The following is a 27,092-nucleotide window of genomic DNA, read 5'->3' as shown; positions in this document are numbered from 1 at the left end:
TTTTTGGATTTTTAGTAGAGACAGGGTTTCACCATGTTGGCTAGACTGGTCTCGAACTCCTGACTTCAGGTATCCAACCACCTCTGCCTCCCAAAGTGCTGAGATTACAGGCTTGAGCCACCACGCCTGGCCTCATACAACTTTTTATACCCAGGTCTAAACACAAAGTCCCTGGGAAGGAAGAGCAGGTATGCAAAGAAAGATGCCAAAACTAATACTTGTAAGGGGACCTTCTTTGGGAAAGAAGGTACGGATACCCCCAGCCAGGCTGAATCCCTCTGACACACACTCCCAGCACCACAGGAGTTAACTTATTATGTGTATTGTCATCTATGCAATGTCTTATTCCACCGCCAGGCTGTGGGCCCCACTCTGGAGGCGCTCACGTGGCCAAACTTGAAAAGCAGTTAAGAGCCTAAAGGAAGAAACCGCAGCATCGTTCAGGGGAGGAACAGCACAGACCACAAAGAGAGTCAAACATCCCAGTGCCCAAGTCAGGAATGCCAACTAGAGATCAGCCAAAGCAAAGATCCCGGTGGGGGGCGTGGCAGTGGGCTGGGACCATCATCTCCTCTTCTGAGGAGCCAATGAAGGGAGTGGAGTGGGTGAGAGCCAGCATGCAACAGGAAGACGAGTACTGGAGAGGCAGAGTAACGGGGACTCAACAGCTGCCCGCTCTGTAAGCTGGCTGGCCTGGTCCCTTCTCAGTGCAGTAGGATGTGGGCTACCACAAGAATGCAGGCAATGCTAGTGCGTCAGAGTAGAGAGCTCAGCATTCCTCAGCACCTTGGGGAGGCCTACTCTGACCAGCAGATGTAACCACATTTAACCATGGAGTGAGGCTCCATCAAGCACATCTAGGGTGCCTGGGTACCTGGAGGAAGGAGGGAGGGAGAGAGGGGTTCCCTAGGCCAGCACAGGGATAAGGGGCAGGAAGAGCCACAAAGTGGAGTTGATTTTCAAGACCCCTCTGACTGACTTTTGAAAAACTGGATAGGTTGGGAAGGGAAGGAAAAACATAATGAGTGCTAGTTAGGCACTTCAAGGCATGCAAGGAAAGTTTCTTTCCAGGAAGAGGGGCTGCACAAAGGTCAAGAGATGGGAAGAGGCCAGGCATGGTGGCTCGTGCCTGTAATCCCAGCACTTTGGGAGGCCAAAGTTGGTGGATGATTTGAGGTCAAGGGTTAGAGACCAGCCTGGACAACATGGTTGAAACCCCGCCTCTACTAAAAATACAAAAATTAGCCAGGCATGGTGGCGGGTGCCTATAGTCCCACCTACTCGGGAGGCTGAGGCAGGAGAATCACTTGAACTCAGGAGGTGGAGGTTGCAGTGAGCCGAGATCACACCACTGCACTCCAGCCTGGTTGACGGAGTAAGACTCCATCTCAAAAAAAAAAAGAGAGAGAGAGATAGGAAGACACAATGGAGAGGGGAAGATAAAATGATGTCTGGTTTTCTTTATCCTCTCAAAGATGCCCATTAAAATTGCTGGAGGCCCTGGGCTGGGTTCCACAGGCTAGGAGGAATGTTTTATGTATTCCTGTTCCCCTGTTATTACAGAAAAACCCACTGTATATGAACTGTTTCTACTTCCAGGAATTTACCACAGAGCTGAAACCTCAACATATATTCACAGTGCTCAAAAAGAGGAAACCAAATAGCCAACCACTAGAGTTAGATTGGTTAAAATACAAAAGCATGTTGTCAAAGATCAGTTAATGGCATGGAAAGAGCTACACCCCATATAAATGGAAAAAGCAGGTTACAAAACAATATGATTCCAATGTCATGAAAAAAGTATAAGGCATTTTTTAAAATATGTAATGCTCAAAGAGTGTGGTGGGATTATGGGTGATAACCTTCGTCATCCTTGTTGTCTATTATCGACAATAAATATGTTTGACTTTTTAAAAATTAGATAAAAACACAACAAATGTTATTGAAATACACACACACAACTGAAAACAGGCCCACGTGGGGTAAGCTCACCTTCTGCAGGATGGGGGTAGGGCAGATGTTGTCAAACAGGACTGAGTTGAAGATCCCATACACGCCCTCATCAAGGTGGTACACGATGGTCTTGGAGGTGGAACCATTTTCCTCTGCAGGAGGGGAGGGTTCAGAGGCAGCACAAGTAGCAATGTGAGGGGGTGGTAGTGGGGCTGACACAACAGTGGGCTCAGTAAGGAAGCAAAATGGCTACCCATTCCTCAACCATGAGGCGAGGCCTACAACAAAAGCCATCAGCAGCCATCCTTCCAATGACATGGGTTCACTGCCGTGTTAGGAACACTCACCCCTGCAGCCAAGCAACCTGCCCAGGATGCACTCCCCTGCTTGCATCTGAGCCCCTAGGTGCCCCAGCAAAGGCAGAAGAGCAGCCCACCCAAACTCAAGACCCCAAAAGGTTAAGCCACTTGCTCAGAGGCACATGATAGGGCAGTGGATGAGCCAGAATGAGAAGCCAGGTCTCTTGATTGGATCAGACGGGACAATCCCCCAGGTCTATAAAGGAAGCCAGAAGAATGCCACACACGAACACAGGACATTCTACCTGGAGCCCACCACCCTTCACATGAATTCTCTCTGGGGAAAAGCGCACAGTCCTGAGGCTCCCCTGCATGAGGGTCCCAGAGCAGAGGGCAAGCCTCAAGATCAGAGTCCCTGACACCTGTCACTCACAGGCTGCTATCCCTGACCTATCTGGAAGGGGAGGGAAGAGCACTGATGTTGGTGATGTGGGCCCAGAAGCGCTGAGTCAGCCTAACCTGAACTTGAATCCCCACACTGCCCCTTATCAGCCATGTGACCTTGGGCTAATGACTCAGCCTCCCCCTGCCTATGTTGTCATCTGTAAAGTGGACTCAAACAAATGTAAGCTGTCATTAATTATTTTCATTATATTATGAGAAGCAGTAGGGTGAGTAGGAGCCTGTATTTTGGAGAGGAGACAGACATGGGGTCAAATGCAGGCTCTTACTAGCTATTAAGCAGTTCACTTGTATTCTCTTTGGTTCTCGGTTTCCTCATCTGTAAAATGGGGTCAACAGAGTATCTATTCTCTCTAAGGTTGTTTTGCTCTCAATCTTCACAAAATATGAACATGCCTAGGAAAAAAGATGCTAAATAAATGTCTTGGGGTGGGGCGACTTGACTGAAAGTTTCCCTAAAGCAAGAACCCATTCATTCTCCAGATTCCCCCATCCTCTGCCACTGGGTCTAAAACCAGATCCTGCTCAGCCAACCACTATCTGAAGCTTCAGGGGAGAACAGGGCTCCACTGCCCACCTGGCACCTACCCTCCCTGCCAGGCTGGTCTAGCAGAACCTCCTTCTTGGCAATGATGCTGACTGCCACAGTGAAGGCCGAGGTCACGTAGTAGCGCCCCAGCTCAGCAAAGATGTCCACGCCACAGCCCTCTGGGAAGTACAGGTCCAAGGCTGAGTTGATCACGGAAGCAATCTGGTAGGAGGAGAATGGGGAGACAATTATGTGTTTGAAATGTGGGCTTTATGCTGAAGACTTGCTACAGCTCCAAGTCTATTTCTTGAAAGCTGCTTTGATTTCCGGAAGAAGGATTTGGCAGCTGCTAAGGCCCCAGCTGATAACTGTGGACAGCTGGCCAAGAAGGTAGGAGGGGGACAGAGCTGGGTAGAGAGCCTCGTGCTTGTGTAAATCACCCTCCTCCATGGCCCCACAATGGGAAGGAGTCCTCTTCATATCACACTTGGTACTCAGATTCCAGAAGCCCTGATGTGGATCTTTCTTTCATAAATAACCAGTTTGTTAAATACAGTTGACCCTTAAACAACACAGGTTTGAACCGTGTGGGTCCACTTATGCATGGATTTTCTTCTGCCTCTGCCACCCTGAGACAGCAAGACCAAGCCCTCCTCTTCCTGCTCCTCCTCCACAGCTTTCTCAACTTGAAGACAATGAGGACAAAGACCTTTATGATGATCCACTTCCACTTAATGAATAGTAAATACATTTTCCCTTCCTTATAATTTTCTTAATAATATTTTATTTCTGGCCAGGCATGGTGGCTCATGCCTGTAATCCCAGAACTTTGGGAGGCTGAAGTGGGCAGATCACTTGAGGTCAGGAATTCGAGACCAGCCTGGCCAACATGGTGAAACCCCGTCTCTACTAAAAATACAAAAAATAGCTGAGCATGGTGGCTTGCACCTGTAATCCTAGCTACTTGGGAGGCTGAGACACGAGAATCTCTTGAACCCAGGAGACGGAGGTTGCAGTGAGCCAAGATTGTGCCACTGCACTCACGCCTGGGTGATAGAGTGAGACTCTGTCTCAAAAAAAAAATTATTTCCTCTAGCTTACTTTATTGTAAGAATACAGTATATAATACATATCACACATAAAATATCTGTTAATCGGCTGTTTATGTTATCAGCAAGGCTTCTTGTCAACAGTAGGCTATAGTAGCTAAGTTTTAGGGGAATCAAAAGTTATATGCAGATTTTGTAGTGTGTAGGGGGTCGGTGCTCCTAAGCTCTGCGTTGTTCAAAGGTCAACTGTAATATACTTGATTACAGAAAATTCAGAAAATACAGAAAAGGAAAAAGAAGATAAAAGTCACTCCAAAGTCTATCAACTAGATGAATCTAATTATTGTTAACTTTTTGGAGTAGTGTCTTTAATTATTTTTTATACAAACGCTATTTTTTATTATAACCATGGTAGGTCTCTGTATATGTTTTTGGAACCTGTTTTACTTAATAGACTGTGAACGACCTCCCCACATTAAGGAAGTGTTTTCATCAAAAGGATGTACCATAATTTAACAAATCCTGAGTATTAGATGGACCAGGGAAGTCCACTGGACTTCTGTTAGGAACAAAGCTAGAACAGTCATCTTTGAGGCAAATTCTTTGAGACTATCCCAAATCATTTCTGTAAGGTCAATTCCTACATGTCGGTATTCCCGAAGGAGGCGCCTTCCAAGAAGAGGCGACCTCTAGTGGTTGGAGTGGGAACTGCTAGGACACATTTTTCTTAACTTCACCTCACAGTGGGTAAGGAAAAGGGAATAGAGGAAGAGAATGGACAGGCAGCAGACCAAAGGTTGGTTTTCGTTTCCCTGCCTCCCCACCCGATATCTCATCAGCCCACCTTAGGGTGAAGAGGCCTATCCCGCCCCTTAAAGAGCCTTACGACTTATGTAAATGTGTCCTGGTTATGCCTCCAATTGGCTGAAGTGCATGGCAGGCAGAACCAGGTTCTGCTTTGGGCTCAGGAAGCAATGTAACCTCTGTGAGCCTTGGCTTGCTCAGCTGTAGCACAGGGTTAATAAGCAGTGAGATCACCCAGGTAAGCACCAAGCACTGCATGCAGTGCATAGGACCCACGCACGGTGGTCTCCCTCCGATCATCTAATCCCTCCCTATCCTCCCCGCCATAGAGCCCAGCATGACACTCCCAGCTCCAGGGTTACCTCTTCAAATCTCACTTTGGCCCCTTCTGTGCCAGGGAAGCCACCACCAAGGTCCAGAACGTGCATCTTGTGACCCAGCTCGGTGCCCATTTCAAACACGAGCCGGGCGTCTGCGATGGACTGAGCATAGGCCTGAGGGTCAGGACAGCCACTGCCAATGTGAAAACTGGGAAGAGAGGAAGAGCCTCGGCTGACATGCAGGGCTCCAAGTGCCACCACCTGAGCCCCAGCCAAGAATGACATTGGGCAGGCACATGAGACACTGTGCCCATTTTACAGATGCAGTGACCAAGGTCCTGAAATGTTCAATGGGTTGCCAAGGGCCATATGGCAAGGGAGAAGTGGACAGGAGGCTTGATCCAAGGGCTCCTGGCACTTGGTGCTCCTCCCATCCCTCCTTCTGGGATGAGAGCCAGGACCCCCAAGTCAACCAGATCTGGCTGTGCCTCCCAGTCAGCAGGGTGGCCTTGGCAGCTTACTCAGCTTTGTTTTAGTTTCCCCACCTATAATGCGGGGACAAGACCCACACCACACAAGGCTGAGAGAATGTGCATGAAGCACTTAGCACAGCACCTGGCACACCTAAGTACAGAATAAATGAAGCCCTATATTAGGTAGTTCATTGTTCATTAGGTAGTTCATTATTACTCCTTCCATATCCCTGTAAGAAAAGAGGCACACAGCTGGGTGCAGTGGCTCACACCTGTAATCCCAGCACTTTGGGAGGCCAAGGCAAAAGGATTGCTTGAGCCCAAGACTTTGAGACCAGCTTGAGCAATAAAGTGAGACCCCATCTCTACAACAAATAAAAATTAGTCAGGTGTGGTAATGCACGCCTGTGGTCACAGCTACTTGGGAGGCTGAGGCGGGAGAGAGAATTGCTTGAGCCTGGGAGCTCAAGGCTGCAGAAAACCATGATCATGCCACTGCACTCCAGCCTAGGTGACAGAGTGAGACCCTATCTCAAAAAAAAAAAAAAAAAGAAAGAAAGAAAAGAAAAGAGGCCCCTCAAGAGTGTAGCTGCAAAACCTTTGTCCTACAGGCTGGTAAGACTCCCTCAAAGCCAGGTCTCTGGATGGAACTTCCTGGGACAAGACCTTCTGGGGACCCTGGGACTGGGGAAGGGACCCTTCTAAACTTCCTTTTCAAACAGAGGAAATTCTCAAATGGAAGAATTCCAGGCCCAGGGACAGGCCCTACTCAGAGGCCCTGGGGAAGGTCTCATATAGAATTAATTCCTGGGAAAGAGGCAGGGAGCCTGGTGTGGGAGGGGATGGCAGGGGTTCCCAGTGCTCACCTCACACCCACCACCTCCACATGGTGCTTCTTCGCATTTTCAAGCAGGTGTCTGCAGGATTTCAGTGACACTCCAAACTTTAGGCTCAGGCAGCTCAGGGAGTGGGAGTCATCGGTAGCAATGCACAGAACCATCCTGATGAGACACGCAGTGCCCCTCTGCTGGACAAACCCTGTCGCCCCACCCCAGCCACATCTCTCAATCAAGGGCTGTGAGCTACATGGCTCAGAGCCACCCAACCCCACAGGCTCCCTGACCCCTCCCTCTCCCTACACAGCCAATCAACCTTCAAGTCCTGTCCAATCCATTCTCTAAATGTCCCTGACCCATTCCTGCAGCCCCTGCGCCCTGGTCCAGACCTCACCAACTCTCCTGGGGCAGCTCCAGTCCCTCCAAATCAGTCTCCACACCAGTTAGAGCTTTCAAACTTGTCGTGTATGAGAGGAACCATTTTTAAACAAAGCCTTAAGGAGAACCCATTAATACGATGGAAGCTGCTTTGGATGGACTGGAGTGGCCCATCACCTGGCCACCCCCTTCACCCCAAGGCCCCTCCTGGGAAGTCCAAGGGTGTCCAGTAATCATGTAAAAGGCACAGCCAGAGCAAAACGTCCAGCCCTGACCCCTTCGAAAGTCCATTTGCATCGGCTCCCCGCCCCCGACCAGGATCTCCTTCACCCCCTACACATAGCATGCGTCAGCCACACTAAGTTTCTGCTTACGCTTGAATGTCCCATGCTGTTTCCAACCTCAATGCATTTGCTTACGCAGTTCACTATTTATGCCCCCTCCAAATTCTATTCATTCCTCAAGGCCTGCTTCAAATGCCACTTCCTCCGTGGAGCCTTCCTGACCACTCCCTCGACTCTCTCAAGCCTGTGACTTTGGCCTCCATAACACATGGGTCTCACTCTGCCTAGGGCTTTAACCAGTTATTTCTGCCTTTGTTCTAGCTAGACCCTAGCATCCTGGGTTCAGTCCAGGAGTACCTGCCCCAACCTCCTGCAACTGTGGCTGGGTCCAGGACAGGGTGACCTGCCCCAGCTCCACCCCCTCACCCCACCCCCCCCTTCACTCTGAAGCCCAGCCTTCCCTCAGCCCAGCCTCCCCACAGCCCAGCCTCCCCACAGCCCAGGCTCCCCACAGCCCAGGCTCCCCACAGCCCAGCCTCCCCATGAGTGGTTCTCAGCTTACTTGGCACTGGGGTGGCTCTTTACCACCTTTGCCAGCTCCATCTCATTGTCAAAGCTCAGCAGCTGGATCCCATGCTTGGCAGCATATTTGATCTGTGCAATTTGCTTACAGGGGTTGGCGCAGATGATCTTACTGGCAGGGATTCCAATATGCTGGACCAACTCCATCTCTGCCTATGGGGCCCCAAAGGTGGTTGTAAGGAGGCACCAGGGCCTGCTAGCCCACGGAGCCCAAGGAAGCACAGATGAGGGCAAAGTCATAGCTATGCATAGGGAGGCCCATAACAGTGGGCCTTGCTCTAAGACAACAGATACATAGATATCAGGACTTACATGGATTCACCATTCTTTGATAAGCAGGGCTGCCATGTACAGCCATGCGGGTGGTACACTGAACAATCCTGGGGGTGGGGAGTTCCCATTCAGAATGAATACAGAGTAGATTTGTATATTTATTAAAACTTCCTGGCAGTAAAGCATCTCATTCTAAGAAAATCAGTATATTTATTATAACAATTAATTGTCTTAAGGAAAGGGTACATTTTCTAATTTACACAAAGGCATTATATGGACTCATGGTAGCCCTGACAACAGGCTTCTGACACATTTTCCTGGCAAATTTAAATGTTTAAATATTACTTGGAAAACAGTATGGAGGTTCCTCAAAAAAAAAACTGAAAATAGGACAGGGCGCAGTGGCTCACGCCTGTAACCCCAACACTTTGGGAGGCTGAGGTGGGCAGATCACTTGAGGCCAGGAGCTTGAGACCAGCCTGGGAAACATGGCAAAACCCCATCTCTACCAAAAATACAAAAATTAGCCAGGCTTGGTAGTACATGCCTGTAGTTCCAGCTACTCAGGAGGCTGAGGCAGGAGACTCACTTGAACCCAGGAGGCGGAGGCTGGAGTGAGCCGAGATCACATCACTGCACTCTAGCCTGGGTGACAGAGCCAGACTCCATCTCAAAAAATAGAACTACCAACTACCATATGATCCAGCAATCCAATACTGGGTATACATCCAAAGGAAAGGAAGTCAATATGTAAAAGAGATATCTGCACTCCCATGTTCAGTGCAGCATTATCCACAATCGCCAAGATACGCAAGCCACCTAAGTGTCCATCACAGATGAACAGATAAAGAAAATGTGGTCCACATACACAATGGAATATTATTCAACCTTAAAAATGCAGGAAATCCTGTCATTTGCAGCAACATGGATGAGCCTGAAGGACATCATGTTAAGTGAAATAAGCCAGGCACAGAAAGACAAACATGCATGATCTCACTTATATGTGGAATCTAAAAATGTCAAACTCAGAGAAGCAGCATAGAATGGTGGTTGCCAAGGGCTCGGGTCAATGGCGAGGGGGCAGTGGGAAGAAGTTGGTCAAAGGATACAAAGTTTTAGTCAGGAGAATTAAGTTCAAGAGATCTAATGTACATCATGGTGACTATAGTTAATAACAATATATGGTACACTTGGAAATTGCTAAAGAATAGACCTTAGGGGTTCTCACCACAAAAAAAGGTAAGTATGTGAGTTAATGCCTAATTAGCTTGTTAACCATTCCACAACGTATACATATATCAAAACATCATGTTGTACACCATAAATATATACAATTTTTATTTGTCAGCTTAATAAATAACAAAAGCACTGCTGGTGTATTAGAAAGTCCACCAGACCAAGGATCTTTTGGACAGAGATCACCCCACTCCAAAGGCCTACTCTGTGCACGGCCCTGCACTGGGTGTGCAGGGTGTGCGGGCTCAGCCCTGCTCCTCTTGGGGCCTCCTCTTCATCCCCTTTACTCTAGAACCTGTGGGCACCTGATTGCTGCATTAATGATATGAACAAATGATGATGATGATGATGACGACAGCAACTGTGTTCATTCAGCACCTACCACAAGCAGGCCCTGAATTAGATGGTTTACATCGGGTGTTAGCATACTTTTTCTATAAAGAACCAGAATAAATATTTTAGGTTTTGCGAGCCACACAGTCTCTGTCACAACTTCTCAACTGCCTTTGTAGCACCAGAACAGCCACAGCCAAAGCATAATTGAATGAATGTGGCTGTGAGTCAATAAAACTTCATAAAATTAGGTGGTGGACTGGATTTGGCCTTCCATCCGTAGTTTGCCAACCCCTACTTTGGATTCACCCTTTTATTCAGTCCTTGCCAATAACCCATTCAGATGGGTATTAGCTCCAATCTACAGAGAAGGAAACTGATGCTCAGAAGGGCTACGCAGAAAATAGGTGGCAGAACGAACTTTCGAACTCAAGTCTGACTCTCCACGAATAAACAAGAGAAGAGAGAGCCAGTTTTGAAACATGGTGAGAGGCATAAGAGTCATTTTTAGCCATCCTGATTTTGTAATAAGAGTCTAATTTTAATTTAGCAACTTTTCAGCACTAGATATTTATAAGCATTATTTCATTTAATCCCAATGACTATGCTATGAAATATTTACTGGCTACATTTTATGGAGGACAAAATTGAGTTCAGTGAGGTCCACCTGTCTGTGGTGACACAGCCAACCAGTAGCAGAATGGGACACAAAGGTCAAGCTCCAGAGCTGGGCTTGCTGCCACCACAGCTTGCTTCCCAGGGGCAGATGTGGCCTACCCCGAATCTGAGTGGATGTGGACCTGTGTTTTTGTTCCCTGCCTCACCACGTGAGGTGAGAGGAAGAAGCAGTGTTAGCACTTTAGCACTTTGGGGACCTGTGATTGAGCTTTGATTATAATTTTTTTTTAAATATATATATTTTTTAATTAGAGACAGGGTCTCACTACATTGCCCAGGCTGGTTTCGAACTCCTGGGCTCAAGCAGTCCTCCTGCCTTGGCCTCCCAGAGTGCTGGGATTACAGCTGTGAGCCAAGGCACTCAGCCTAATTATAAATATTTAAATAAGTGTTGTCATTCATTGAAGGCATATCCTATGCCAGTCACTGCATTAAGTATTTTATATACATTCTCATTTAACCTTACTAATAATCTTATAAGGTGGGGAACAGAGGCTCAGGGATGCTAAGTGATTTGTCCAAAATCACACAGCTTCTAAGTGGCACAGATGGGATTCTAACTGTCAGACCTTAGCACACCAGCTCTTAACCTCACTGCTGTAATGGGGAATGCAACCTCAATGCTGCACTGACGGGTATTTTTGAGCATCTATTGAGTTGCCAGGCTCTGTGATAGGTGTTAATAAAACAAGTGGTGACTAAAGCACATAGGGTCTCTGAGACCATGGAGCTTTCAGGTTGGTGGGAAAGATAGGCAGGGCAGTCCCAAATGAGCGCTGAATAATGATGGAATTACAAGTGGTTAAGAGCTGGGAAGAAAAAGTACGTGCTGCAAGAGACCTGGGTGTGAGAGGCAAAGGACAACTTCAGGGTTAGATATTTAAACTGAGCCCTGCAGGAGGCCTCAGCCAGGCCAAGAGGGAAGGAAAGAATCTAAGAATCTTTCCAGTAGAGGAAGTGGTCTGTGCAGAGGTTCTGAGGCAAGCAGTGCTGAGCACTTCAGCCTGATCAAGGAACAGAGAATGCTGCAGTGGCTCAAGAAGAGCAAGTTAGTGCAGTGAGGACGATGAGGTCAGAGGGAGAGGGGCAGAGCTGCCAAGGAAACATGTTTTACCCTGCATGTGATGGGAAAGAGTCTAAAGGGTTAGGAAGGGAAACGACATGGTCAGATTTGCATTTTAAATATAAGGTCTACATGTCTATCTGGCTACCTGAAGGAGGGCCCAAGGGGATTCTGGGGGAATAGACAGTGACAGTCAGTGGCTATCACCATCGCCCTGGGGGAGATGACAGAGCCAGCTCCAGAAAAGTGGGGAGATGTGTTCTGGAGGTGGGACTGGCAAGCTGGGTGATAGATTGCATGTGGTGATGAGGACGAGGACGTCAGAGGGAACTCCCACACCCAGCAGACTGAGGGGGCCCTTCATGACGGGGAAAGGGGACATCAGGAGCACATTTGAACATGCCGGGTTCCAGGCATCTCCTCGTATCAAGTCAACTGGATATATAGGTCTGAGCTGGAGATTAAAATGTGGGAAGCAGTGGCATATTGATGGTATTTAAAGCCATGGGAGGAGATAACCCTTCTTCTGAGAAGAAGGAGGGTTTACAAGACAGGGAGGCCTAGGAATTCAGAAGAATGCTACCATTTAGAGAGTGGCAGAAGATGGGGAGAGATGGTACCCGGGACCTGCAGAGGTGAGGATGGAGAACGTTTCCAAGGGATGGAGAGCAATATGCAGATTAGAAAGCTATTCCTGTAAATGCAAATCTCGTCTCACAGCGAGACATGTGTCTGGACAGGAAGGAGCTGTCTCAGCTATAAGAAGTGCCTGATGAGGTGGGGTCGAAGCAGTGTTCTCTTTCATCTTATACACTTCTGAAGCCTTTAAAAGTAGGACCATATGTTACTGTTGAGTCTTTTTTTTTTTTAAAGAATGCATTGCCAGTCGGGTGTGGTGGCTCATGCCTGTAGTCCCAGCACTTTGGGAGGCCAAGGCAGGTGAATCATGAGGTCAGGAGTTCAAGACCAGCCTGGCCAACATGGTAAAACCCTGTCTCTACTAAAGAAACAAAAAATTAGCCGGGCATGGTGGTAGGCACCTGTAATCCCAGCTGCTCAGGAGGCTGAGGCAGGAGAATCGCTTGAACCTGGGAGGCAGAGGTTGCAGTGAACTGAGATCACGCCACTGCACTCCACCCTGGGCAACAGAGCAAGACTCTGTCTCAAAAAAAAATATATATATATATGGCTGGGTGCAGTGGCTTATGCCCGTAATCCCAGCACTTTGGGAGGCCGAGGCGGGTGGATCACCTGAGGTCGGGAGTTCGAGACCAGCCTGACCAACATGGAGAAACCCCATCTCTATTAAAAATACAAAATTAGCCGGGCATCGTGGCACATGCCTGTAATCCCAGCTACTCGGAAGGCTGAGGCAGGAGAATCACTTGAACCCGGGAGGTGGAGGTTGCGGTGAGCCGAGATTGCGCCACTGCACTCCAGCCTGGGCAACAAGAGCGAAACTCTATCTCAAAAAAAAAAAAAAAATACTACATATCCACCAAAACCATCCTGGTGATTATCTATGGAGACATAAAGCTGATGTCCTAGTTTCTTTTGGGGTGAATGAATCAATGTGTTATTTGCATGTATTATTAGTTCACAATCCATGTTTAAAGTAAAGTGCTCACTGGATGTTGGTAAGTGCTCACTGGGGATGTTGGTAAGAGAAAATTCTTTGGAGTAGTGAAAGTGGAGGCTGGGAAGCAATGGCTTAAGGAAGGAGTACTGAAGGAAAGAAAAAATGGGGGCAGACAGGCAAGTGCAGACAACTTGGTTGAGTTTGGTCACGAAAAGAGAGCAAGGGATTGGGCTGGAAGAGGATGTGCTGCCCAGCAAAGGCTTTTTAAGATGGGAGGATGCTGAGGGAGACAGAGGGCAAGCGATTGGGACAGGAGAGATGATACAGTGGTCCTCGGGCAGGTGGCTGGGTAGACCAGAGTCCCCGAGCAAGCTGTGGCCCTGGCCCCCGTCCAACGCATGTCTGTCTGCACATCCAGCCCTAGCTTACGCCAGGCCCTTGGTCAGTGTCCACTAAGGCACAACGCTGTTAAGCATGGCCACCCACTACAGACGACCAGAAGAGGGCAGCCTTGGCCTTCCAAGAAAAGCTGTAAGTCGGGGAGCCACCTCTCCAGAAGCGCACCAAAGGGTCTGCATGATCCCATCACAGGGAGGGGGCTTAAGTCTCTCCTCGCCCCTGCAGTTGGCTGAGGGCATCCATCACTGGCTGAATCCCAGCTCAGCCATCCTCTCCCCAGCCACCTTGGAAAAAACAGAGTCCAAGGCAACTCAGCAGGACTCAAGCTGCCACCACCCTGATGCGGAACCTCCATCTCTCATTTCCTTATACGTTAAATGTGTCCTCACCAGGCTACGGTCAGAATCCCCATTAAAAAAAATAGTAATTACCTCACAGGGCTGTTGTGAGAATAAAATGAGATCGTGTACAGAAAACACTTGGCAAAGTACCTGACACAACAGACACACTCAGCAAAGGGCAGATGCTTCTCCAGTCCCCGCTGTCATCAAGGTCTCTCTCAGCCTTAACACCTCACTCTGCCCTTTCTTCTACAGAACCAAGCTCCTCCCCCTGGGGTTCCTGAAGCAGAAAACTCTAGGCAGTGGGGTTTGGTCCTGTTCTTCACCCTAGACCTCGGGGACTGAAAGGATCCTGCTCCTTTTCATCCCACGTGGAGGCCCAGGGCACCGCAGGAAGAAGTGGGAAACGAGGACGTCCTGGCTCTGCTACCCACAGATGGCTGACCCCATGGTTTCCTCAACTGTAGAACGGCAGTCTCTCCCACTGTGTGCCTCACAGAGCTTCGTGGAAGACATGCACAAAACGAGGTGTGCAAAGCATGAACTAGCCCAAAGATAAGAGGAAGCACCTCATCTACCATGAAAGGCATTAACATTCGGTCCCTGCTACAGGTTAACCTGCTCATTCTGACCATCCCGGCCAAGTGCACACCTCTCCCCAACCTGGAGTCGCTCCAGCCCTGTCATCCTGCCCAGGACTCCAGGAGTCCTTTCTAGAACTCTCCTCACAACATCCAGCCATATTACGCAACCATTACTAACCACCAAGAAAATAGTGCTAATGACAATATCACAAAGCAGTGCCCACTGGACTTGCTCCCACCTCAGGGCCTTTGCACCTGCTGTTCCTGCTGCCTGAAATGCCCTTTCCCTGGTTATCTACCTGGCTTGATCCCTTGGCTCTTTTGGGTCTGTATTCAAATCTCAGTGAACCATTCCCTGGCCAAACTATCTAAAAGTACAATCCTCTCTCCCAACATTCCTTACTTCCCTTTCCTGCTTTCTCTCTACAGCATTTTCCATCTAAAATACTAAATATTTTCTTTATTTCATCTTTTTTTTTTTTTTTGTAAACAAGCTCCATGAAGGAAGGGCTTTTGTTGTTTTATTTTGTTCACTGCCAAATCCCCACCTAGAATAATGCTTGGCCTCAGAAGAGATGCCCAATTAATATTTGCTGAATCAATAAATGAGATACTTTCAGCTCTACTTAGTTGAAACTTTATAGCTTAAATGCTTTTATCTAGCAAGGACAGAATAGAAATAAATAAACTAAGCATTCAACTCAAGGACAGCAGTCTATCAATTCTGTATTGCTAGCCCTGCCTAGCACAGTGACTACACGCTGTAGGAGTTCAGTAGATACTGAATGACAGTAGATAAGTAAAGTTAATCTAAAGTGGCTATGCGCGGTGGCTCACGGCTGTAAACCCAGCACTTTAGGAGGCTGAGGCGGGTGGATCACCTGAGTTCAGGAGTTTGAGATCAACCTGGCCAACATGCTGAAATCCTGTCTCTACTGAAAATACCAAAAAATTAGCCAGGTACGGTGGTGTGCACCTGTAATCCCATCTACTCGGGAGGCTGAGGGCAGGAGAATCACTTGAACCCGGGAGGCGAAGGTTGCAGTGAGCCAAGATGGCAACACTGCACTCCAGCCTGGGTGACAGAGCAAGACACCATCTCAAAAAATGAAAAAAATAAATCTAAAGAGAGCAGGAGGGAATGAAGACAACAGCAGAAATCAAATTAGAAAGACAGAATTGGTGGCAACAACAAAACTACAAGGACTAGTTAAGAAAATGCACCGCCACACATTATTATGATTATAAAAGGAAAAAGAAAAGAAACCAACAATATGGAGACGCTTTTGTTTTAATTAGAAGAACATCATGTATAGCTCTGTGCCAAACAAATTTGCAAATCTCCATTAAAAAGATGAGCTTTCTACCAGGGACAAAGAAGATTCCAATCTGGAACTTCAAGGCTGACAAATTCCATGCTCGTTTCTCCCTCCCTCATCCCTTGAGACCCCTCCTGAGTGGGTGGTCTTCCCAGAGGGCAAGGACCAACTACAGGTACCTCTTGCTCCCCAGAGCCCACCTGGACTAGCCTGGCCATGTGTGTGTTCAGTGGGCATGGAGGGTCAGTGCACCGTGCGGGCAGGGCTCACCTTGTTGGCACAGCTAAAGCCCAGCCCCAGCTGGGCCAGAACCTTCAGCACACCTGGGCTGCTGTTGCACTTGACAGCATAAAAGGGCCGGACTCGTGGCAGGCACTTCAGAAAGCAAAAGTGCTTCCTCACTATGGCACCCAGGTCAGCCACGAAGAAGGCAGCTACCTCGTCCTGAATGACAAGAAGTGGATGAATGTGAGACCCCATCCAGCTCGCACCCTGTGCATGCCATCCGTGATCCTTCCAAGTACCTGACCCAGGTTCAGTACTGGCCACAGAGCTACCCTGCTGCTAAGTTTTCTGGGCCTCCCCAAGCCTACAGGGCAGAAGGCAAACTCCTCAGCCTGGCATTCAAGGCTCTGATCTAGCCCCAATCCCTCCCCTCAATGCGGCTAAAACTCCAGCTGTAGGCTGGATCATTTTCCCACCTTCAAACCTTTGTTCCCACCATGTCCTGCAGAATACCCTCCCCACTCCTGTGTCTGGCAAAATCCTTAAAGTTTCACTCAAATGCCACCTTCCCCAAACCAATAAGGCAACTCTGCTTTTAAATGCTCCCACTGCATTTGCATATGCTTCCAAGGTATCAGAACTGCATATGCATCTGTCCATTCTAGAAAAGGGTAAACTCCCTAAAGGCAGAAGCTATGACCTACAGCTCACTGCCTTCCAAACACAGGTGCTCAATGAAGCCTTAAGCTAGTCCCACTGACACTGCAACCTATCCCTATGGACAACTGTTCATTGTAGATGTGCTAAAGGCCAAACATGTATGAGGCTGTGGGTGAGACCACATTACTTAAATGTGGAAGGGACCCTTCCAGAGTTGCTTCCCTGGGACTCAGTTTCCCTTTCATGCAACACTTTTTTACTCATGCCCACTTGGTGCCAAACGTTATGCTAAGGGACAGAGATGACCAAACAGTACTGTTGTTCTGAAGGAGCTTGGGTCTGGAAGAAAAGGAACCCCTTAAGTACTTACAAGTCCATTCAGCAGATGTTAGATGGCAGTTTCTACAAGGTGCAATGCAGGGGCATGGAGAAAGAAAATAGAAAATCTGCCTGGGGCGATCAGGAAAGGCAACACTGATGAGAAGCAAGGAATGACTAGAAAGGGGTAAAGAGGGGAGAGGCTGAGAGAAGGATGCTGCAGGCAGAAGGAACAGCCTGGGCAAAGGCATGGTAATAGCATCATTGGGCACACAGCATCATTGGGAAATGCAAATTGAGTCATTCAGCTCCGAAGGAGCATAATATATACTGTGGGGAAAGCTGGGAATGGGGCTATGGAGGCAGGGAAGCTCTGACTTGATCCTGTAGGCAGTGGAGAATTGCCAAATTCAGATTTTGAACAGGACTATGATACCTTTGGAGGGGGTGGCATGAGACCGGGAGATCAGGGGGCCTTTGGAGAGAGGAAGACTGAACTAGAAAGCGAGGTTCCACATAAGCACACTGGAGGCTTATTTAAGGAGGCAGAATTCACAGAGCTTGGTAATGCCTAGATGTGGGCGGTGAGGGAGAGGGGGCAGCAGGAAAGGAATCCCCCGTTTCTGACCTTGGAGGGCTGGGTAAAAAGGCAACATAGGAGGGGCAGGTTTGGGGGCAAGGACAAAGAATTGGGGATAAATTGAGCCCCTCTCTTGCAAATAGCAAGGATTGCGTACCAAATAAGCGAAAGGATAAGATGAGGGCCCTAGGGACCCTTCCTGAGGAGGCAGCTGATCTGTACAGGGGACCGGGGACCCACCCCCATTCCCAGCCCCTCACCGTGGTGGCCTGTGAGGCCCCCAGAGTGAGTTCCTTCAGCAGGTCTCGGGTACTGAAGCCCTCCTCCACCATCACAAAGTCCGATTCACTCAGGTAGCCAGCCATGCCTTGCAGGAGGAGCTGACGGGCTGGATGGAGCCGCTGCTGCAGCCGCCGCCTTAGAAAGTATGCAACACACTGCGGGGCGAGGGGAGATGAAGGGAACCGCTGGGGGGCCGGCTCTGCTGCCCCACTCGCCTCCCGAGGCCAGGGATCCCAATCCCGTCACAACCCGCCCCCAGCACAAGCCCGGGGTTCACTGGGCAAGGGTGGAGAAAGTCAAGAATCCCGGATTTCAGACGGAGACAAGGCACCGTATGCCCAAATGTCACTGCCTCTCCGAGTCAGTTGCTCCCTCTGTAAAATGGATGAATTGTTTTGGAGAGCCTTCCCAGTTCTGAAATTCTGGATTTCAGGAAAGAGTGAGAGAGAGATGGAACAGAAAATCTGAGAAACTTGGGTGGGGAAGTTTCCAGGGCGCCCCCAGTCTTGACCACGCCCACCTAGAGGGTAGCCGGTGGCCACATCAAGGCGTCTCAGCCTAAGAGCAAGAGCTTAAGTTCGAGTCCGCTCTCTACTGCTTGACCTCGGGTACCCTCTGACCCTTTCGGAGCCGCAGTTTCCCCAATTGTAAATGGGGGCTGGACTGATCCTGAGGTGCTAGAATTCTAGGCGTGCCTGGGGACGCCACGCGGTGGGTGGGGGCCGCAAGCTCCTGGGAGAGAACGGAAGGCCGAGGTTTTTTCTGTCCGAGTGACTCCTACAGAGTGCAGGGCTGAGGTCCCCCCAACCCCCAGGGCCCCTTACCAAACTCCGTCCTCCTTCGCGGGGGCCAGAGCCAGGCGCGCTGCTAGGGGGGGTCGCCGGTGACCTCGAAACTTGTGCAACACCCCGAGGAGGAGTGGCAGTTGCGGAGCCGAGGCCTCTGCTGACAGGAGGCAGAAGGGGCAGGGAGGCAGGTCAGCACCAGGGCGGAGGGCGTCCGCTCCCCGAGGCTCCCCAGGCCACTTTCCGCACTCGCCTTAAAACGCATTTACACGGCTTCGGCCCATAGGTCTCCCCAGGGAGTGAATCGGATCCTCGGCGCCTCCGCTCTCTCGCTTCCCCGGGCTCGGGTCCCGCGGCCTGCGCCCCGCCAGCCCAGCAGCCACAGACCCCCACGCCCCGCCTTCCGCCCGCCGCTGGCTTATATAACCCCGCCCAGGCCCCGCCCATAGTGCCGAGGCCCTACCTCCGCTTGGCCGTAGCCCTGGCAACCGGGTGCCGCCATCCCATTGGTCGATTCCGACATAAAGCATTCAGCTCTGCTCGCCCTTACTGTAGTCTTCTCCCCCGGAGGCCTGGCGGTGGCTACCTCACGCTGGAAGTCAGAACTACAGGGCCGCCGCCACGCAGGTGAGACACTTAGACCCTGCATCTTAGGTCTTAGAGAGTGGGCAGGACCAGGAAGCCTTTTCTGCCTCTGCCTCAACTTACTTCGTGGTCCAGCTCTTGTCTGCGTCAGGAACTGCTCACTCATCTCTCGAAACCCGGTTCCAATGACATGTCCTTGTATTACTTTTGTAATAAAATTCTTTTTATTTAATTGCCTCTTCCAGGCATCTTCCCCGACTCCAACTCAAAACGCATCTAAAATGTCTTCAGAGAACCTTTTTGTGACTTTCCCAGTTCAGGGCAATCCCTCCCTTTATCCCATCCTGTGAACCCGGCAAACTCTTACTCATCTCTCAATAGAAATGTGTCTCCTTCTCCAAGAAGCTTTCCCGGACTTCCTCAACTCAAAGCATTTCTTCTATACCGAAAGCTGCTGCTCACCCATCAAAGTCCTGTATAATGTCACCTCTGTTGAACCTTCCATGACTTGCCTGGCCCCAAGGAACACAGCATTTAGTCTGTCTGGACCCCTCACTCATTTGGTTCTTGTTACCCATAGCGTGAGATTCCTGTTGTTATTTTACACTTCTTGTTTGGTTACACTTTGCATCTAGTTTGTGATTTCCCAAGGGCAAGGACTGAATACCCTGCTCAAGAGCCTGGTGCCTGGCATAGACAAGAATGCTGAGGAAGATTCAATAGCTGTGTTACTCAAAAGCTGATATAAAAGTTCATCTGGAAAAGTAAGTGTACAAGAACAGTCAAGACACTCTTTTTGCCCAGGCTGGAGTGCAATGGCACGATCTCAGCTCACTGCAACCTCTGCCTCCTGGGTTCAAGCGATTCTCCTGCCTCAGCCTCCCAAGTAACTGGGATTATAGGCGCATGCCACCACGCACAGCTAATTTTGTATTTTCAGTAGAGATGGGGTTTCACCATATTGGCCAGGGTGGTCTTGAACTCCTGACCTCCAGTAATCTACCCGCCCCGGCCTCCCAAAGTGCTGGGATTATAGGCGTGAGCCACCGCGCCCGGCCAAAACTACAGTCTTTAAAACAGTATGGTGCTGGAGCAGGAAGAGACAGTGGTAAAACAGAACAGGGTCTACAACAGTCCCATATACATTGGAGATTGGTACACAATGGAGGCAGCATTTCAAATCAATGAAGCCAAAGGGCTTTTGGTCTACCATATGTCTTCATGTCCCCTGCTAGGCTGTGGGCTTTTTTTTTTTTTTTTCTCTTTTGAGACAAGATCTGGCTCTGTCACCCAGGCTGGAGTGCAGTGACATGACCTCAGCTCACTGCAACCTCCACCTCCCAGGCTCAAGTGATCCTCCAACCTCGGCCTCCCAAGTAGCTGGGACTACAAGTGCATGCTACCATACCTTGCTGATTTTTGTATTTTTTGTAGAGACAGGGTTTCGCCCTGTTGCCCAGGCTAGTCTCAAACTCCTGAGCTCTAGCAATCTGCCTGCCTCAGCCTCCCAAAGTGCTGGGATTACAGGCGTGAGCCACCATGCCCAGTGGGCTGTAGACTTTTTTTTAAATCAGAGGCACTTCTTGTCCCGCCTTAGTATCTCCCTAGGACACTGCACAACCTAGTTAGAACATGCTCAGTACACAAATGGTGTGGGGCAGGGACCAGAAGCAGGAGAGCCATTTTCTGCTCCCTACCCAGCTGGGACATATAATTGCTGGGTGTCCTTGGCTGAGTCACCCTAACTGGATCTGGGTCACTTCTGCCTGGCTTGATTTCCCCCTGTGAACTGAGAGGTTTCAGACTGATTTCTCTGGGCCCTTCTGCCTGGAACCATCTTGTTTTCTATGCATAGGAGTAGTATTTCAGGAGGCAGCTTTATAGGACAGTCATTTGCAGGACCTTTCTTTGAGATTAATAGTCATTTGCAACATAGTATGAGAACAAGTATCTACCAATCAGGAAGGGTAGATTAGGACGGCCATGGCAGAAACCCTAAAAGATTATACTGAGAGGGCCAGGCGCGGTGGCTCACGCCTGTAATCCTAGCTGAGATGGGAGGATCACGAGGTCAGGAGATCGAGACCATCCTGGCTAACATGGTGAAACCCCATCTCTACTAAAAATACAAAAAAAAATTAGCCAGGTGCGGTGGCGGGAGCCTGTAGTCCCAGCTACTCGGGAGGCTGGGGCAGGAGAATGGCGTGAACCCGGGAGGCGGAGCTTGCGGTGAGCCGAGATCACGCCACCGCACTCCAGCCTGGGTGACAGAGCAAGACTCTGTCTCAAAAAAAAAAAAAAAATTAGACTGAGAGGAGAGGAGCACCCGAATAACTTTGGCTCTACTTTTAGTTAAATCATTCTCTGAGCTGTCTGCATTTGGATGTCATGGTCTGGGTCTGCCCTACCAGCTTTTTTCATCACCTAGTAGGCACATAATAGGTACATTCAATATGTTTACTGAATGAATCAATAGAGGTAAGAAGAAACGAGCCAGAATCCAGTCTGTCCATTTGGAATCTATCAAGAGTAAGTAATCAGAGCAGAAAAATCTGCACCCTGGACTGAGTACAGATAGGCTGTGGCTTTTTCTTTTTTCCCTGCTTGTTATGTGATGTCATTGAAACTCCATGACAACCCTATGTCACAGGAGCCACATTTGTTCTCATTTTACAGATGAGGAATATAAAGCTCAGAAAAGTTCAATAACTTGCCCAGGATCACACAGCAAGTAAAGGTGAAGACTAGATTTAAATACAAGCCAATTCTGACCTTTAACCTTTATGCTTGACTGCCAATCAGTGGCTGAGAATTCTGGCCCCAGCTAAACAAAAGTTACACACTCATCCTGCCAGCATCCAACCCAAAAGCTGGTAGCTTCTCTTCTGCTTGTCTCTCATGCTACTGCTGTTGTAGCATCTATGATTGCTGTGCTGAGCCCTCAAGAACATGGAGCAGAAGCAGGATAAAAATCTTCTGATCTCTAGTCAGAATCATGTCAGCCAAGTCAATCTATTCTTCATAAACCAAGAGTAATCATAGTCACAAACGTTGCAATAATAAAAATGCCTTATTAGTACATAGAACTGGAGAGTTTGAAAAATACTTTCCTGTTCATCATTTTATTCAGGCTTCCCAAAATTCCACCAGTATTAATTTCTTAGGGATGCCATAACAAAGTACCAAAAATGAGTGGCTTAAAATAACAGAAATGTATTGTCTCCAGTTATGGAGGCTAGGAGTCTGGAGTCAAGGAGTTGGCAGGGCCATGTTCTCTCTGATGGCTCTAGGAGAGAATCTTTCCTTGCTTCTTCTAGCCTATGGTGTTAGCTGGCAATCCTTGGCGTTCCTTGGCTCGTAATGCATCACTCCAGTCACATGGCCGTCTTCTCCCTGTGTGTCTTCATATGATCTTCCCTCTATATGTGTTTGTCTCTGGGTCCAAATTTCCCCTTTTAATAAGGATGCTTATCATATGGGATTAGGGTCCATCCTAATGACCCCATTTAAATTTGATTACCTCTGCAAAGTCCTGTTTCCAAATAAGGTCACATTCTGTGGCACTGGAGGTTAGGACTTAAAAATAACATTTTACAAGGACACAATTCAACCCATAACACCACCAAACACTTCTTTTTTCATAATTGACCAAAATATAGATCCACGATGACACCTAGTTGCGAGGGAGGTGGGAAGACGTAGTCTTTATTTGGGTACATTGCTGTTCCTCCTACCCCCCAATAAAATCAAAATACTAATGAAGACAAGGAGAGAAGATATTTTGTGGTAACTAGTAGGGAAGATTATTTCTCCCTTTTAAAGATCAGTATACCACCGGGTGTGGCAGCTCATGCCTGTAATCCCAGCACTTTGGGAGGCTGAGGCAGGTGAATCACTTGAGGTCAGGAGTTCAAGACCAGCCTGGCCAACATAGTGAAACCCCATCTCTACTAAAAATACAAAAAATTAGCCGGGCATGGTGGTGAGCACCTGTAATCCCAGGTACTGGGGCAGCTGAGGTGGGAGAATCAATTGAACCCAGGAGGCAGATGTTGCAGTGAGCCAAGATTGCACCACTGCACTCCAGTCTGGGCAATAGAGCAAGACTCCATCTCTAAAAAAATAAAAAATAAAGATCAGTATATCAGTTGCTATGGTTTGAATGTGTCTCTCAAAAAGCTTGGGTTGTAATTTAATACCCAATGCAACAGTGTTGGGAGGTGGGGCCTAATGGGAAGTGTTTAAGTCATGAGGGCTCCACCACCATAAATGGATTAATGCCCATTATAAAAGGGCTCAAGGCTGTGAGTTCAACCTCTTGCTCTCTCTTGCCCTCTCCACCACCTTCCACCATGAAATTATGCAGCAAGAAGGCCTCCACTAGATGCAGCTCCTCAGTCTTGGACTTCCCAGCCTCCAGAGCCATGAGCCAATTTTCTGTTCATTATAACTTACACAGACTCAGGTATTCTGTTGCAGCAGCACAAAATGGACTAAGACACCAGTTCAGAATGATTATGGAATTTATTCCATAGGGAGAAGTAGACAGAGAAGTAAACAAACATTATTTGAGCACCTGTTGTGTGGCAGACATCATACTGAATGTTTACAAACACATGATTGCATTTAATCTTTAGATAACCCTGTAAGACAGGCATTATTAGCCCCATTTTACAGGTGAGAAAATTGGGATTAAATCCTTTGTCTAAGGTTACCCAGCTAGTGAGTATCAGAACGGAAACTTCACTCTGGTCTGTCTGACTATGCCAGTGAGATGGGCTCTGAGAATAAGGCATGAAGCTCAGAACAAAGAATGCCAACACCAGGCCAAGAGCAAACAGCAGGAGACCTGAGCAGTGGCTGGAACCCAGGTTCAGACACCAGATAAATTGGCAGAAAGGGCACCAACCCAAAGTCACCACTGCAAACTCTTTGAAGGCATCAGTGAAATGGAGACCCTGAAGTAACTAGAAACCAGAAACAAAAAAGCAGCCTTAGGACTTTGCAAGGTCAGAGCTACTTGCAAATTAAGGATGGAAATGAATCGTAACAGTGGCCACAATCTATTGTGCATCCACTATGCTCTAGGCACTAACAGCTAAGAACCCTAGAGAGGTTACTATCATGCAGCCTTGTATTAAGATTTATATAACTCTGGGCCAGGCGCAGTGGCTCATGCTTGTAATCCCAGCACTTTGGGAGGCTGAGGCAGGTGGATCACCTGAGGTCAGGAAGTTGAGACCATCCTGGCCAACATGGTGAAACCCTGTCTCTACTAAAATACAAAAAATGGCGGGTGCCTGTAATCCCAGCTACTGGGGAGGCTGAGGCAGGGGAATCACTTGAACCTGGGAGGTGGAGGTTGCAGTAAGCCGAGATTGAGCCACTGCACTCCAGCCTGGTGACAGAGCAAGACTCCATCTCAAAAAAAAAAAAAAAAAAAAAAATTTCATATAACTTTGACTGGGTGCAGTGGCTCACGCCTGTAATCTCAGCACTTTGGGAGGCCGAGGCAGGCAGATTACTTGAGGTCAGGAGTTCGAGACCAGCCTGGCCAACATGGTGAAACCCCGTCTCTACTAAAAATACAAAAAGAATTAGCCAGGTGTTGTGGCACATGCCTGTAATCCCAGCTACTTGGGAGACTGAGGCAGGAGAATTGTTTGAACCCAGGAAGCAGAGGCTGCAGTGAGCTGCGATTGTGCCACTGCACTCCAGACTGGATGACAGAGTGATACATCTCAAAAAAAAAAAAAAAAAAACAGAAAGAAAGATTTATATAATTTTTAACTCAATAACCCTAAGAGGTATGTGCTGTTTAGTAACCCTATGTTGCAAGGGAGGAAACGCATAGAGAGGCTAACTTGCTCAAGGTCACACAGAAAATAAGGGGCACCTCTGCACTATATACACTTTCCCCATCTTCACAACAAGCCTGCAAGGTGGGAACTATTATCTCATTCCACAGTGGAGGAATCTGAGGCCCAGCGAAGCCAAGTGATTTGCCTAAGATCACACAGCTGGTAAGTGGCAGAGCCTGGACTCAAACTCAGGGCTGTGCCCTGGTGAGAAATTTGAAATGGAAAGGCCCAGGATCATGTTAGAGCAAACCCTGGGGCCCCAGCTCTTCAAACGCTGAATTCTAATTGTTAGAGCTGTCTGTGTCCCCTTGATACAGGAGCAGGCAGGCAGAGGCCCTGCCTGTACCTTGGAACCCAGCCTAGGATCAGCACTGAGAAGACAAAGCTCAAGTGTGTTGACTGAATTGGGGATTATACTCACAACTCTTCCCTAGACAGACAAGATGCTAAGAGGCTGAATGTGGTAATTTGGATTTATTTGTGTTTATTTTCATTCTCTTTTAGGCTACACACAAATGTGAAAAAAAAAATAATAGTGTGTAACAATTAAGGAATTCATACAGTTTCTCTGAAGCCAGACCGGAGTCATTTCTAACAAATGTGATGAGAAAACAACAACTATTTAAAAAAACAATACTCAGCTGAAAATTCTCACTTTCTCCAGCTGCTGTCTTCAGAGCCACCCGGGAGGGGAATAAACAAGGCTGTTGACTACAGCTCTGTTCCACATTCTCTGATGGTTCTCAGGCTTTGGCCTGCATCAGAATCACCTGGAGGGCTTGTGAAAACACACATTGCCAGGCCCTTTTCCAGAGTTTCTGATTCAATAGGTTTGGGGTGGCCCTGAGAATATGTATTTCTTTTTTTTTTTTTTTTTTTTTTTGAGACGAAGTTTTTGTTCTTGTTGCCCAGGTTGGAGTGCAATGGCGTGGTCTCGGTTCACTGCAACCTCTGCCTTCCGGGTTCAAGTGATTCTCCTGCCTCAGCCTCCCAAGTAGATGGGATTACAGGCACCCGCCACCATACCCAGCTAATTTTTGTATTTTTAGTAGAGACAGGGTTTCACCATCTCAGCCAGGCTGGTCTCGAACTCCTGACCTCAGGTGACCCACCAGCCTCAGCCTCCCAAAGTGCTGGGATTACAGGTGTGAGCCACCACGCCCAGCCAAGAATATATAGTTCTGACAAGTTCCCAGGTGAAGCTGATACTACCAGTCCAGGAACCACACTTTGAGAGCCCCTAACCTAAACAGACCTGAAGCACAGCAGGCAAAGAGATCAAAGCTGTGTACCTTTGAAAGAAGGCGTCAAGTCCTTGCCCCAACCCCTCTCTGGCAAGGAGGTCTGGTGGGCCAAAAACCAACCTGGGCTGGAAGGCTATACTATCTCTAGACAATAGGAGCACATCCATAAATATACACACTTACTATGTACCCACAGAGATTTACAACAAAAAAAATTGTTTTAAATAGGAGTACACACTTCAGGGGTATATAAGCTTGAATCCATCTCCTGGGGCAACCCTCATTTACTGTGTGACCTTGGCAAAGTTACTTATCTTCTGCGAACCTCACTTTATTCATCTGTAAAATGAGCATAATAAGACTGCCTGCTTCCCAGGGCTGCTGTAAGAAATCTGTGAACATGTAAAATCTCCTGCTTAGTGCCTGGCATGTGCATTCGCAAATGCATTCTATTTTTTTTAGAAAGAGTCTCGCTCAGTCACCCAGGCTGGACTTCAGTGGCACAATCTGGGCTCACTGCAGCCTCTGCCTCCCAGGTTCAAGCAATTCTCATGCGTTAGCCTCCCGAGTAGCCAGGATTACAGGTGCACCACCACACCTGGCTAATTTTTGTATTTTTTGTATTTTTAGTAGAGATGGTGGTTTCGCCATGTTGGCCAGGCTGGTCTCGAACTCCTGTCCTCAAGTGATCCACCCACCTTGGCTTCCTAGCAAATGCATTCAAAACAGTAGCTATTTGCATTATTAGCCTGAGCCAGAGTGCATGGGGCCAGAGAAG

The 27,092-nt window shown here is 48.3% G+C and overlaps 1 protein-coding gene and 1 long non-coding RNA gene across 32 annotated transcripts in view, besides 4 other annotated features; one reads left to right on the top strand and one right to left on the bottom strand.

Moving 5' to 3' along the window:
• Positions 1-19,019, bottom strand: part of AZIN2 (antizyme inhibitor 2) — an 85,643-nt gene extending 66,624 nt beyond the window's left edge. For 3 of the 31 annotated variants that reach the window (XM_047443457.1, NM_001293562.2, XM_047443473.1), the window contains exons 1-9: positions 18,878-19,019; positions 18,664-18,781; positions 17,818-17,994; positions 16,045-16,218; positions 7,950-8,122; positions 6,756-6,890; positions 5,459-5,624; positions 3,303-3,465; positions 1,993-2,105 (exon numbers count right to left, since the gene is read on the bottom strand). In XM_047443457.1, the coding sequence (XP_047299413.1) occupies positions 1,993-2,105; positions 3,303-3,465; positions 5,459-5,624; positions 6,756-6,890; positions 7,950-8,122; positions 16,045-16,218; positions 17,818-17,922 (1,029 nt within the window). In that variant the 5' untranslated portion in view covers positions 17,923-17,994; positions 18,664-18,781; positions 18,878-19,019. Of the gene's footprint in view, positions 1-1,992; positions 2,166-3,291; positions 3,466-5,458; positions 5,625-6,755; positions 6,928-7,949; positions 8,123-16,044; positions 16,219-17,029; positions 17,155-17,817; positions 17,995-18,359; positions 18,572-18,663 lie in introns of those variants that run through there. The other 28 variants (XM_017000174.2, XM_047443450.1, XM_011540566.2 and 25 more) reach the window with 24 other exon arrangements.
• Positions 534-603: an enhancer, noted in NCBI's record as "active region_706". NCBI's record gives its function as "activates an Ori minimal core promoter by ATAC-STARR-seq in GM12878 lymphoblastoid cells {active_cell/tissue: GM12878}" and the evidence as "EXISTENCE:reporter gene assay evidence [ECO:0000049][PMID:35858748]".
• Positions 7,217-7,874: an enhancer, noted in NCBI's record as "H3K4me1 hESC enhancer chr1:33557899-33558556 (GRCh37/hg19 assembly coordinates)". NCBI's record gives its function as "activates a minimal SCP1, AML or CMV promoter by ChIP-STARR-seq in naive H9 embryonic stem cells {active_cell/tissue: H9 hESC(naive)}" and the evidence as "EXISTENCE:reporter gene assay evidence [ECO:0000049][PMID:30033119]".
• Positions 15,577-16,076: an enhancer, noted in NCBI's record as "H3K4me1 hESC enhancer chr1:33549697-33550196 (GRCh37/hg19 assembly coordinates)". NCBI's record gives its function as "activates a minimal SCP1, AML or CMV promoter by ChIP-STARR-seq in primed H9 embryonic stem cells {active_cell/tissue: H9 hESC(primed)}" and the evidence as "EXISTENCE:reporter gene assay evidence [ECO:0000049][PMID:30033119]".
• Positions 18,798-19,057: a silencer, noted in NCBI's record as "silent region_615". NCBI's record gives its function as "represses an Ori minimal core promoter by ATAC-STARR-seq in GM12878 lymphoblastoid cells {active_cell/tissue: GM12878}" and the evidence as "EXISTENCE:reporter gene assay evidence [ECO:0000049][PMID:35858748]".
• On the top strand, positions 19,176-22,288 carry LOC105378635 (uncharacterized). Its single transcript, XR_947163.2, has 3 exons — positions 19,176-19,251; positions 19,845-19,973; positions 21,886-22,288. It is a non-coding gene; the product is annotated as an uncharacterized LOC105378635 (long non-coding RNA).
• Positions 22,289-27,092: the final 4,804 nt, after the last annotated feature.

Source organism: Homo sapiens, chromosome 1, assembly GCF_000001405.40.
Source record: "Homo sapiens chromosome 1, GRCh38.p14 Primary Assembly".
In the NCBI taxonomy this organism is placed as follows: Eukaryota; Metazoa; Chordata; class Mammalia; order Primates; family Hominidae; genus Homo; species Homo sapiens.
The sequence above is the reverse complement of the archived record's forward strand: the minus strand, read 5'-3'. Positions and strand labels throughout refer to the sequence as shown.